Source organism: Homo sapiens, chromosome 5, assembly GCF_000001405.40.
Source record: "Homo sapiens chromosome 5, GRCh38.p14 Primary Assembly".
NCBI classification, from domain to species: domain Eukaryota; kingdom Metazoa; phylum Chordata; class Mammalia; order Primates; family Hominidae; genus Homo; species Homo sapiens.
Window position 1 is genome coordinate 52,760,290 of NC_000005.10, and position 13,252 is coordinate 52,773,541.

Genomic DNA, 13,252 nt, shown 5'->3' on the forward strand with positions numbered 1-13,252 from the left:
TAAACTTACTCTGGATAAAATCCTATTGTAACAACTAAAGTGAAGACTCGGGTGATAAGTGTGATGATGGCCCTGGATCCAGGGAGACAGAGCATATAAGTTGGTATAAGGACTGGTATGAATCAGCTCAGGGCACCAGATGGACAATCACATGCAAGGGTAGCAAAAATCAGAGAGAAATTTATGGACCATATAGGATAGGAGGATGGTGAACTCATAGGAGTAGATAGTCCCCTTGTAACCCAACAGGCTGTAGGTAATCTTGATGTGGGTCCCAGTCCTGGCTCTGATCTTATTATCCTCTGAAACGAAGAGGGAACAACGGGCTACTGACAGTGAACTCCAAGGAGTGTAATATAATCACATACTTTCACAAGATGTTGAGATTTACACAGAAATATTTGCAAATAAGAAAGTTTGCCTTTGGTGACTTTGGAGTCACACTCAACAACTCTCTTTCTCTCACACCCCACATCTGATCTCTTCAAGCAAATATTATTGACTTTATCTTTAAAATACATTCAGAACCTAGCAACTTCTCATCACATTCACCATGTTCTGACCACTATCATGCCATAACAGGATTATTGAAATTGTCTTTTCACTTCTCTTTTTGTGTCAGTCCTTGCCACAGCACAGTATTGGACATATAGTATATATTTCCACCAAGCAAGCAGATGGAAATAGAAAACCTCAGCAAAGTTTATTGCAACAGCTGGATTTATCATTGATATGATTTGGATGTGTCCTCACCCAAATCTCATCTTGAATTGTAGCTCCCACAATCCCCATGTATCAAGAGAGGGACCCAGTGGGAGGTAATTGAATCATGGGGGCGGGTTTTTCCCTTGCTGATCTAGTGATAGTGAATAAGTCTCACAAGATCTGATGGTTTTATAAAGGGGAGTTCCCCTGTACATGCTCTCTTGCATGCCATCATGTAAGATCTGACTTTGCTCCTTCTTTGCCTTCCACCATGATTGTGAGGCCTCCCAGCCATGTGGAACTGTGAGTTCATGAAACCTCTTTTTCTTTTTAAATTACCCAGTCTTGGGTATTTCTTCATAGCAGTATGAAAATGGACTAATACAATCACAGACATGATCAAATGGTTGTAATTATATTTTACCTATATCTAATTATATTTTCTACTTATGCAATTTTACCTACGCTGTCTGAAAAATCAAAAATAGTGATTACATAAAATTCCACTAAAACTGTACGATATCTGGAAAGAGCACAGAGTGATGCTTTAAAAAAATGTGTCTGGCAGAGCCTCGTGTCTCACACCTGTAATCCCAACATTTTGAGAGGCTGAAGCAGGAGGATCACTTGAGTGCAGGAGTTTGAGACCATCCTAGGCAACATAGCAAGGCCATGTCTGTACAAATATAATAATAATAATGATAAAATTTCTTTAAAAATGTATCATCTAATGCTACCCTTCTACCCCAAATCCTCTACTAGCTTCCATCTCTGAATAAAAGCCAAATCATCTAAATGGCCTTTAAGTCCCTATATAATCTGACCTCATGTTTCTACCACTGTCTGCCTAAATCACTCCATTCCAAACAGAGTGGTCTTCTGAACTTCCCAAGGATGCTCTTGCCTTAGGGACCTTCTGCTATAAGTTTCTTACCCTACATTCTAGCATAGACCTTCTTATAGACTGAATGTTTGTGTCTCCCTCAAATTCATATGTTGAAATCTTAATTTCCATTGTGATGGTATCTGGAGATTGGGCCTTTGGGAGGTAACAAGGTTAGATTAGGTCATGAGGGCAGGGTCTTCATAACACAATTAGTACCCTTATTTAAAAAAAAGAAAAGGCAGTAACACAGGATCTCTTTCTCTATGCTCTCCGTTATGTAAGGTTTCAACCAAAAGATGGTCATCTGCAAGCCAGAAAGAGGGCTCTCAGCAGAAATGAGATCTATTGGTACCTTGATGTTGAAATTTTCAGCCTCCAGAACTATAAGAAATAAATGTTTGTTGTAGAGTCACCCAGTCCATGGTAATTTGTTGTAACAGCTAGAACTAAGATAGACCTTCCTCCCACCTTTGCTCAAACATCATCTTTGCAATGAAACCTTTCCTGATTACCGTGTCTTAAATTTGCCACTCACACCCCTCACATACACCCTTTTCTCTAGTTCAGCTTCATTTTCCTCCATTAAACTATTAACTATCTAAAATACTATTTTTTATATTTTATTGATTGTCTATTTCTCTCCACCAAAATATAAGCTCCATTAAGATGGGATTTTGTTTTGTTTTGTTTGGTTCATTGCTTTATCCACAACATATAGAGAATTTCTTAATAGGTAGTAGACACTAAAACAAATAAATAAAATGAAGAATAAAGCTTTCTGAGTGGAAAGTTGATGAAAAAGAAGTTTTAAACCACTAAAGGTTTGTTGTTAGGACAAAGTTTGCATGCATTTCAACTATTGCACTTGTCCTCCAATGTTTTTTTCCTCAATTTCAACAACAGAAATTAGCCCACAGCTATATTTTGTTTGTAAGAGAATTTCTCTCCAACTAAGAGGTCATGAATCTTGCTTGGCCACAGTTAAAAAATGAGAACACTTGGACACAGGAAGGGGAACATCACACACTGGGGCCTGTTGTGGGGTGGGGAGAGGGGGGAGAGATAGCATTAGGAGATATGCCTAATGTAAATGACAAGTTAACGGATGCAGCACACCAACATGGCACATTTTTGCATATGTAACAAACCTGCACGTTGTGCACATGTACCCTAGAACTTAAAGTATAATAAAAAATATGTATATATATAAAAGAAAATAATACAAACATTATACATGGAAATTATGTCACTTAGTTAAAGTAAAACATACATTTATTCCAAGATGAAAAAAAAATTGTAGACACATCGAATGTTACAGCTGGGAGAGGCTATAAGAAACACTACTCCAGTGGGCCTCAAACTATGTTCCCACAATAGCTAGACCAAGTTTTCCCACCATAAAATAAAGTAACACAATATTTTATCCAATTTTCCGAAAACATAAAGCTAATAGAAAAAGTTTTCTCAATTTTTTTTCTCATAAATTTCTCTTACGGTATTGGCACTGCAATCACTTAACTAATGATATGGTTTGGCTGTGCCCCCACCCAAATCTCATCTTGAATTGTAGCTCCCATAATTCCCACTTGTTGTGAGAGGGGTGAGGTGGGAGATAATTGAATCATGAAGGCAGTTTCCCCCATACTGTTCTCATGGTAGTGAATAAGTCTCATAAGATCTGATGGTTTTATAAGGGGTTTCCCCTTTCACTTGGCTTTTCATTCTCTCATGCCTGCCACCATGTAAGACATACTTTTCACCTTCCTCCATGATTATGAGGCCTCCCCAGCCACATGGAACTGAGTCCATTAAACCTCTTTTTCTTTATAAATTACCCAGTCTCAAGTATGTCTTAATCAGCAGCATGAAAATGGACTAATACAACTAACAAGCATTTTAAGATGTCAAAAATTAATAAACAAGAAGCAAGCAGATAGAAATAGAAAATCCTAGAAATGTTTATTGCAATAGCTGGATTTATCATAGACATGATCAAATGGTTGTAATTCTATTTTTGCCTATATTGAATTACATTTTCTACTAGGGCAATTTCCCCTACTTTGTCTAAAAAAAATTAAAAATAATGATTACATGGCATTCCACTAAAACTATAATATCTGGAAAACAGAATTCTAACTGTAGGTTCTCTAAGTTGAGACAAGTTTGAAAACATCTGATCTAGTCTAGGCCTTAATTTCACAGATGCTGCAACTTACACCGAAGGGAGGTGGCTGGCTCAAAGTCACATAGTGACAAAAATATATAACTTGACAAATCTTTTCTGCTTACCTCTTTCTTCCCGATTTCAAATCTCAAGGATTTGGTTTGTTTTTCTTTTTTTAAGATCTCACTATTTACTTTATTATAAGAGGAATATCTGCTCAAAAATCAGTCTATTAAATTGAGTTTCCCTGGAAGCCAACTCCTTTTCAATCTCCCAACAAGCCCACTTTTCTAATCACTATGTGTATTAGGATTGTCAGAGAAACAGAATGAGTAACTTTATATATATAGAGAGAGAGAACTTTATATATATATTTATATATATAATAACTCATATATACATATATAGAGATAGGTAGATATTATAAATATATGTGTGTGTGTGTGTGTATATATATATATATATATATATATGTGTGTGTGTGTGTATGGAGACAGAGAGATTATGAAAAATTGGCTCATGCAATTGCGAAGGATGAGAAGTTCCAAGATCTGCAGTTAACAAGCTGGAGATCTAGGAGAGTTGGTAATATAGCTCCAGTCTGAAAACCAGTGGTCTTGAAACCCAAGAAGAATTATTGTTTCTGTTCAAGTCCATAGGCAGGAAAAAAACTGATGTTCTAGCATGAAGGCAGTCAGGTAAGAGAAGTTCCCTCTTATTTAGGCTTTTCGTTATAATCAGGCCTTCAACTGATTGGATGGGACCCACCCACATTAGAGAGGGCAATCTGCTTTACTCAGTCTACCAACTTATGTTAATCTCATCCACAAGTACCTTAAAGACAAGGAATAATGTTTGATCAAATATCTGGGCACCCTGTGGCCCAGTTAAGTTGAAAGATAAAATGAACCATCACAATGTGTAGGTAATAAAGTCTTATTAAAAAAAAAAGAGATAGAGAGTTATAAATCTACGAAAAATATAAAAAGAAAGGGAGAACTTTAGCATATCTTCTCCAAGACATGGCTAAAAAGCTAGAAAACCATGGATAGTTTTCAACCCCCCAAATAGGTTTCCCTTGAAAAATTTTTCCTGGAGGATTTCAGGGGAAGAAAAAAAAGCACATAAAAGAAGACTTCTAATTTTAAAACATTTCAAATGTCTTTGTTTTTTAGAGCACTGGAAGATCTTGCAATACAAGCCCATTTCTTAAATGGCAGCAATCAATTGGATCAAGTAGCAACTACTCCCTTTATACAGGCCTAGAGTTTTCTGTTCACCCCAGTTCTCTCTGTCCTTTTCACCAGAAAATGTTAGTTTCCAATCAATACTAATTTGATCATCATTTTTATCTTACTAAAGTAGAATAGTTTTGTGTCTTCATGTCATCATCAAAATTGGGGAAAAAATAAACTAAGGTGATAATGAATTTAAAGAATACAGTGAGAAGAATCACATTTATTTTATAAATTAATTATATTGTATTAATTATATTATTATGTTTTAATATGCATACAATATGTTTCTGTGTAGAAACAACTAAAATTAGTTGTTTTTTTTCATATATTAGCCCATAGCCTTACTTGAGTTTGTGATTCCTATTTTATAGTCATGATTATTAACTCACTTCATATATAGTAATTGAAAGCTGTGGGCTTCCTGTTTGCTTTCTCCTCTAAAGACTATTACTAATACTCCTAACTCATAGTAGACACATCTCATGCCTAATGTCTCTGCAGCTTCCTTGCTCACCACCAACCCATCACACAACACACATTAACACCCACCAACTACACAATAAATGAAACAGTTGTAAGTTGTTCCTTGCAAAGAAGTAGCCATTCATGGTGACATTGCCAGGCGCTTGGCCTAAGGGCACTACAACTTGAACCCACTAAGCTAGGGAGTGACCTAGCTTTTTATTATGGCAACCAGACTTGCTCTGTTTTGAATTTTTGATGTTATAAGATTTTAATTTTTATATGTTTAAAATTTCAATTTTAATTTAATGAGATTGTCCAGATAATAATGAGAATAGAGGAGACAGCCAGACAGGACAAAAACAGAAAGTAAGATGAGACCACATGGTACATAAAAAAGCTGGCTGAGCATGGTGGCTCATGCCTGCAATTCCAGCACTTTGGGAGGCTGAGGCAGGAGGATCACTTGAGCCCAGGAGATCACGGATGCAGTGAGCTACGATTGTACCACTTACTCTAACCTGGGCAACAGAGTGAAACCTTGTCTCTGAAAACAAAACAAGAACTACTGAGAAATTCATGTTTTTTTAAAGCTTCCTCTGTGACCAAGAGATTATTCCCTTTCAGAATATAAATATTAGCCTAAATTAGATTATATAATTATATTTTTAAAAAGTTTACTTTTTTTTTTCCCACATCTCAAGGAACTGCCTATGCTAAGGGACTCCTAACCAAGTCGGCCTCTTGTTTCAGGTAATTTTCAACAATGACCATGTCTATTAGTCAGGGTTCTCTAGAGGGACAGAACAAACAGGATATATGTATATAGGAAAGGGAGTTTATTAAGGAGAATTGACTCACGATCAAGAGGTAAACTCCCACGATATGTCGTCTGCAAGTTGAGGAGCGAGGAAGCCAGTGGTGGATCAGTCCCAGTCTCAAAACCTCAAAAGTAAGGAAGCTGACAGTGCAGCCTTTAGTCTCTGGCCAAAGGCCTGAGAGCCCCTGGCAAACCGCTGGTGTAAGTCCAAGAGTCCAAAAGCTGAAGAACTTGGGGTCTGATGTTCTAGGGCAGGAAGCAACCAGCACAGGAGAAAAGATGAAGACCAGAACACTCAGCAAATCAGACCCTGTCATGTTCTTCTGTCTGCTTTTATTCTAGCCATGCTGGCAGCTGATTAGATGGTGTCCTCCCCGATTGAGGGTGGATCTGCCTCTCCCAGACCACTGACTCAAATGTTAATCTCCTTTGGCAAGACGCTCACAGACACACCTAGAAACAATACTTTTCATCCTTCAATCCAGTCAAGTTGACACTCAATATTAACTGTCACATCATGTAACCAGAAATCCACTAGTGTGGGTTGAATCTTTTATTCCTAAAATTGATAAAGAATATTTTTCAGGACTCACTCCAATTCTGAATCTAGGTTAACATCACCAAAGATGACTTTCTGATTTATGTTGGTAATTTCTAGGTGTTTGGCCATAAGCTGAGTATATCATTAGTTTCAAAACAGATATACTCATCTCCCAAATGGCATTAGTATGTCATCTTGTTAAGAAAAGTTCACTTACAGTTTGTCATAGTTCATTTTCTTTTGCTATAACTGAATACCACAAACTGGGCAATTTATAAAGAAAAGGAATGTATTCGTCACATTTCTGGCAGCTGAGAAGTCTAAGAGCATGGTACTGGCATCTTGTGAAGGCCTTCTTGCTGCCTCATATCATGGTGAAGGGCATCGCATGAGGAGAGGGCAACAGCATGCCAACTCAAGTCTTTCTTCCTCTTCTTACATAGTTACCAGTCTCATCAGAGGGCCCCACCCTATGACCTTATCTACTCCTAATTATCTCCTATCTCCCATCTCCAAATACCATCAACATAAGATTTGGGGAATTAAGTTACCAACACATGAAATTTGGGGAACACCTTCAAACCATAACACAGTTTCATCAGTTTCTTTGGATATTGTGGCTTATAGATATACCACATTTCTGTAATTATTAAAAAAAAAAAAAACTTGAGCTTTATTTTCCAAGAGCCTCTGCCAGAACTTAAAGTGTGTTTCAGATTTCTTGTAACTTGAGAACTTCCTCTATAACTGGGCCTTTGTTTACCCCAACATATCTGTATATCTAGGCAATCTATAACTCTACTGAATTCAGGGAATATCAGAAAAAGGAAATAAATGTGCATTGAGTCAATCCACAAGTTCAGTTTGAATGTGAATATTTCACTTCCTTAAAGAAAGCAGAGCTATTCTTGTCTAGCTTATTTGTCCCTTAACTTTAAGTTTAATCTGTGGCATTCTCTTCTTACATCAGTAAGAAACAAGAATCATACTATGAGTCCTGGGGGGTCCGACAAGTTGGTTCTTGCAGATTTTCTGAACTCCAAAAATTCCTTGGTATCAATTTGTAGTTTAAATTCTTTTCAACATGCTTTCACCTCCTATCTTCCTGATAGCACAAAAATTAGCAAATTTTTCATACTTTGCTTGAAATTCCTGCATAAACTGGTAAGATATGGTCACAGGCAGAAAAATTATTTACAATGGTGATCATTTCCTTTGTCATATAATGAAATGAACCTAGCTTGGAAAATCACAGCAAAACTTGTCTGGTGAATTTGGACACTAGGCACACCAACATTCTCTTGGAATCTGAATAAACTGTTGAAAGCTTCTTTCATCACAGTGCTCTATCTGAAAAAAGCAAAATTAATTTTTCAAAGTTTGAGCCAACTTCTCAGCTTTCTTTCTGGTAAACACTTACTTCATTATTTTGGTCTTTAAAATATTGCTAAAAATGTCAGACTGTCTGCACTGGAAGTCAGATGGACAGAGTTGACCTGCTGTAGAATATTTCTTTACAACCTCTAGCTCCTCTTATTTACCCTGAGCTTTTGTGCACCTGTATCCTGTATGCTGCAGTGTTTGTTTGCCACAATACAAATGTCACCCACCTACCCCACCCAAAATAGAGGCAACAGACAAAAGTATTGCCTCATATGCCAATAATTTCCTATGATCTAAACAAAACCCATTTATAAAATTCTAGACAACCTAAAATAAGCAAATATTAATACAATTTTGCCCACATTCCTATTTGATTTATGACTGAACTGTTGGCAGAAACATTATTTTATTTATTATTATTATTACTATTTTATTTATTTACTTATTTTTTGAGACAGAGTCTCACTCTGTCTCCCAGGCTGGAGTGCAATGGTATGACCTCGGCTCACTGCAACCTCCGCCTCCCAGTTTCAAGCAATTCTCCTGCCTCAGCCTCCCAAGCAGCTGGGATTACAGTCATGCACCACCACGCCCGGCTAATATTTCTAGAGGGGGGCTTCACCATGTTGGCCAGGCTGGTCTTGAACTCCTGACCTCAGGTGATCCGCCCACCTCGGCCTCTCAAAGTGCTGAAATTATAGGCATGAGCCACTGCGCCCTGCCAGAAATATTTTAAAGCCAGCACAGCACATCACTATTTGTGATCTAGGAATCCTAATCCCTGACTTTGAATTTTCTCTGGCTCATGTCATGATCCCTCCACAGCTGTGTTATAATGTGGAAATTTATCTTTCATGTGGGTCTGACTTAGCCTTTACTTTTTTTTTCTGTCTCTTACTTAAATCATGATGTTTGAGTCTCATCTTTCATGTTTCTTTACTATTTTCTCTACTGATCTTTGTAATTCCTGGGTTTTCCTAACTACTGGGCCAAACTGAAGGCACATTAATCCATGATTCATGATCAATCCATGATCACCTTTTGAGGTTCTATAGAGAAGACGGTATGGTTAAGATTCTAATGAGTACATATGGGAAAAACGTTGGTCAACTTTTCTTTTTTTAAGATCCCGGGCCTGGCGCGGTGGCTCACGCCTGTAATCCCAGCACTTTGGGAGGCCAAGGCAGGTGGATCACGAGGTCAGGAGATGGAGACCATCCTGGCTAACACGGTGAAACCCCGACTCTATTAAAAATACAAAAAATTAGCTGGGCGTGGTGGCGGGCACCTGTAGTCCCAGCTACTCCGGAGGCTGAGGCAGGAGAATGGCGTGAACCCGGGAGGCAGAGCTTGCAGTGAGGCGAGATGGAGCCACTGCACTCCAGCCTGGGCGACAAAGCAAGACTTCGTCTCAATAAATAAATAAATAAATAAATAAATAAATAAATAAATAAAAGATCCCGCCAAATAGTCAGGGTTTCTGGGCTATGAGGAAGTGAACTAATTTATTAACTGTAAGGTTGACCTTTGTAAGCCATAAAACAGATATCTGACCAGTTTCTTCATATGGCTTTGTAGTCATTGATCCTGTATGTCTACCTAAGCACAACCGTTATTTTTTATTGATGCAGTTTTTATATCTGACTAAAGGAGACTGTTCCTAAATACGGCACTCCAAAACATTCAAATAACTTGGTTGCATAATCAGTTCATTCAATGATAGCCAGAAAAATAGGAGAACAAGTTTTATTGTTCCTATGCAAATAACCACATTGTTATTAATATGACAGAGAGGGAGAAAAAGAGAGAAAAGAGTAGAAGATTTATTTCTGAATTCTGAGGGTCAGTGAGAACATGAAACTAAATATTGTACTAAATTAATAATTAAAGAAAGATTAAGAATAAACAAAAAGAGTGTTCAGCTTAGGTTCAGAAAAGGTGTTCGGCTTACTTTTCTTCATCATTTACAGATGGGCTTCTCAGATCTCAGCTTTGAGGTCTCATCTTGGAGGTTTCCGCTTCTGAGAACCTTTTGCTAACTTCCTTATACTGGGCTAAGTGTCCATTACATGTGCTTTTGTTGCACTCTGTGTACCCGATTAGGTACATGAGTATGTCAATTAAAACACTGTTTATGATAAGAAAAATTTGAAATTACTTAAGTGGCCAACAGAAAATAACATGGCAAATTTATGTAATGAAATGTTGTAATTAAAAATGATGGTGTCAATGTATATTCAATGGCATGAACATATGTTCATAATTAAAAACAGATTACATAGTGAAATTACATAATAAAAAACAGACTGCAAGAACATAATGCACGTAATATGGTTACATTTTTATGACTACATATATATGTATAGAACATTAACTTTTTTTTTTAATTTTAGAGATGGGATCTCACTCTTGTCACCCAGGCTGGAGTGCAGTGGCATGATCATAACTCACTGCAACCTCTATCTGTTGTGCTCAAGTGGTCCTCTTCTCTCAGCCTCCTAAGTAGCTAGGATTACAGGCATGAGCCACAGTACCTGGCTTTTGCGTAGAAAAAGTTCTAAAGGCTATAAATGTTACTAATAGAGGTTATCACTTAATGGCAAGACTATACATTATTTTCGTATTTATTTACTGTCTAATTTTTGCATTTTTTTAAGCATGGATTTATTTTGTCTCAAAAGGAACAATAAAGACTATTAAACACTTTCTTAGCAAAATATTGGTAATTTGAACAATAGAATGTGATGCATTAAATCTTCACAAAGATGCTTTAATACCCCTTACACCAAATGGAGCATAGTGTTTCAAAATGGAGTTTTGCAAGATTTGTGTTTTTTCTGCTTAAAAAAAGGAAATGCCTTTCTTTTCCCCCTTTCTTCTGGGGAAGGCTAGATTCCAGGTAATCCTCATAAACAGACATTTAAAATTAAACCCACAGGTTTTCAAAATACTAATGGATTCTCCACTCCATTTCTCAAGGCCAGGCATGGTTTTTCTGCTTGGACACTTGGCACAAGTGTTCTGGATTGTACAGAACAGCGCTGGTACAGTGCTGACTCTGAACATGAGCCAAATTCACCTGTTGTTGTTGTTGTTGTTTTTGTAATTTCAGCTTATGTACCACAAACTATAATTGGAAAACAGTTGGTTCATGGATTTTCCTAGTTAAGTTTTAAGCATTCCAGTTAGTAAGCAAATTTATTGCTGTGAGTTTTTTTTTCCAATTGTAAAGAGCTATTGATAAGTGGCTCTGAGATGGAGAATGCACCCTAACAAGCCACGGCCCACTGGAGGCTTCACATTCAGACTTCTGCGAAAGATAGAGAAACCACAGTGTAAAAGAGAAACTGATACTTTCATACTAGTTCACTCATAAAAAGAAAAGAAAAGAAAAGAGAAATCCATTGTCACTGTGAAGAGAGAGTCAGGAGGCATACAACTGGATTGTTACTCACCTCTTCTTGTTGATTAAAGAATGTTTAACTCTAAGATATACATACTCAATTTAATTCTTTAAAGTTACTTTTCACAAGATAGAATACAATTCCAGATTCTAAATAAAATGATAACACTAACTGTGGGTGAAAGTGACCTGAATCTCCTAACAGTTTCCTCCTCTCCCTACGTAAATAGCACATGCTCTTTGTTGAAGTCCTGCACTTGCTAATACTTTGCATCTTCAGGTCTGGAAGAGAGAAAGATGAGAAATAAAAGGGAATCGCTGTTTTTTTCAAGTTCTTCTTCTTCTTACAACCTCCACATATTCATGGCATGATTCATTTTTACTTTATATTTGCCTCGACAAATAACTCACCTTCAGTGCAACTTGCTCCTGGAGTTATTTCTCTAATAATACTTTTGCTCAAAATCTATACATATTCACCAGCCTTCTTGAACAAAGGTGTACACATTCATTAAGGAGGGGTAAAGGGAAATTTGGGACATTAAACAATTTTGTTTAGGTTTACTTTGTTTTTGTTTTTCAGATAAACTTAGATGATCCTTATGTGATCTTCACAAGGCTGACTTCTTGTCATTCAAAAGGCACATTAAGTGTTATTTTTAGACATGTCTTCTCTGACTATTCAAATGAAAGTGGCCACTCTTCTATTGTAATTATTTGTGTAACATTATTTCTATATGACATGTTTTCTCATTTATGTATTTATTTATTTATTGTTTATCTCCTCTCAACCACAACAAAAATTAACTTCATGAGGGCAGGGACTTGTTGATCTTATTTAATACTCAAGAATGGCTTCAGGTATAGTAGATGCCCAATAAATTCTGAAAACTAAATGAATAACTATGTGTACAAATCCTCTTCTCCAAGAGCAGCAGTCACTTAACTAGCAGATTAGTGTTAAACAAATATTGCACATTAGATAAATAATCTTCATCTCTACCCAGTCCTGCCATACTCTTGTGGACTTAATCAATGCCAACAGGGGAACAAATGTGATTAATTAATCTCTCTTATTAACTGATGGTCCAAAAACCAGAACTCAATTATAACACAGACTGCAGTAGATATATTCATCAACAGCATGTAAAATCTTGGTTCCAAAACTAAAGCTCAATAAAATGACAATATAATGTGATTTGAGTAAGCTACTGGGTTAAAATACTCCCAGTAAGTCATCAACACAGCAAAAAAAAAGTTCTGTTAAATGACAGTTCATTCTAGCAGAAGTTATATTAGAAGGCACGGATTAAGCAAGGCAGGATTTTAGATCTTAATTCTGACTTACAGAAAATTATTAGATATGAACCTAAACTATAAATGTGGGTTTTTCAGAACAAAGCTTTTCTTGGCATATATGAAACTTTATGCCTGAAAAGTTTCATAACGTAATCTTGGTTTTTAAAAATTTGACATCAGTACATTCTATCTATTAAAGGTCATTTGATTTCTTGTAAATGTAGCTCTTTTGAGTGACTGAAATAATAAGTAACACACTCAGTGATCACCAGTTATTTAGTGTCGCACTACATTATAACAAAAGCCATTACATCCTGTGTGACAGGAAAATGGGTGGAGGACCTTGTATAT

General features: G+C 36.7%; 1 long non-coding RNA gene across 9 annotated transcripts in view; it reads right to left on the minus strand.

Annotated features, from left to right (window-relative positions):
* The window catches only part of PELO-AS1 (PELO antisense RNA 1), a 127,387-nt gene that overhangs the window by 86,863 nt on the left and 27,272 nt on the right, over positions 1 to 13,252 (minus strand). For 2 of the 9 annotated variants that reach the window (NR_186452.1, NR_186448.1), the window contains exons 3-4: positions 10,151 to 10,327; positions 6,317 to 6,521 (exon numbers count right to left, since the gene is read on the minus strand). The exons of 6 other annotated variants lie outside the window; for them this stretch is intronic. This is a non-coding gene — a long non-coding RNA (PELO antisense RNA 1). The remainder of the gene's footprint in view (positions 1 to 6,316; positions 6,522 to 10,150; positions 10,328 to 13,252) is intronic. One more of the 9 variants, NR_186453.1, reaches the window with a different exon arrangement.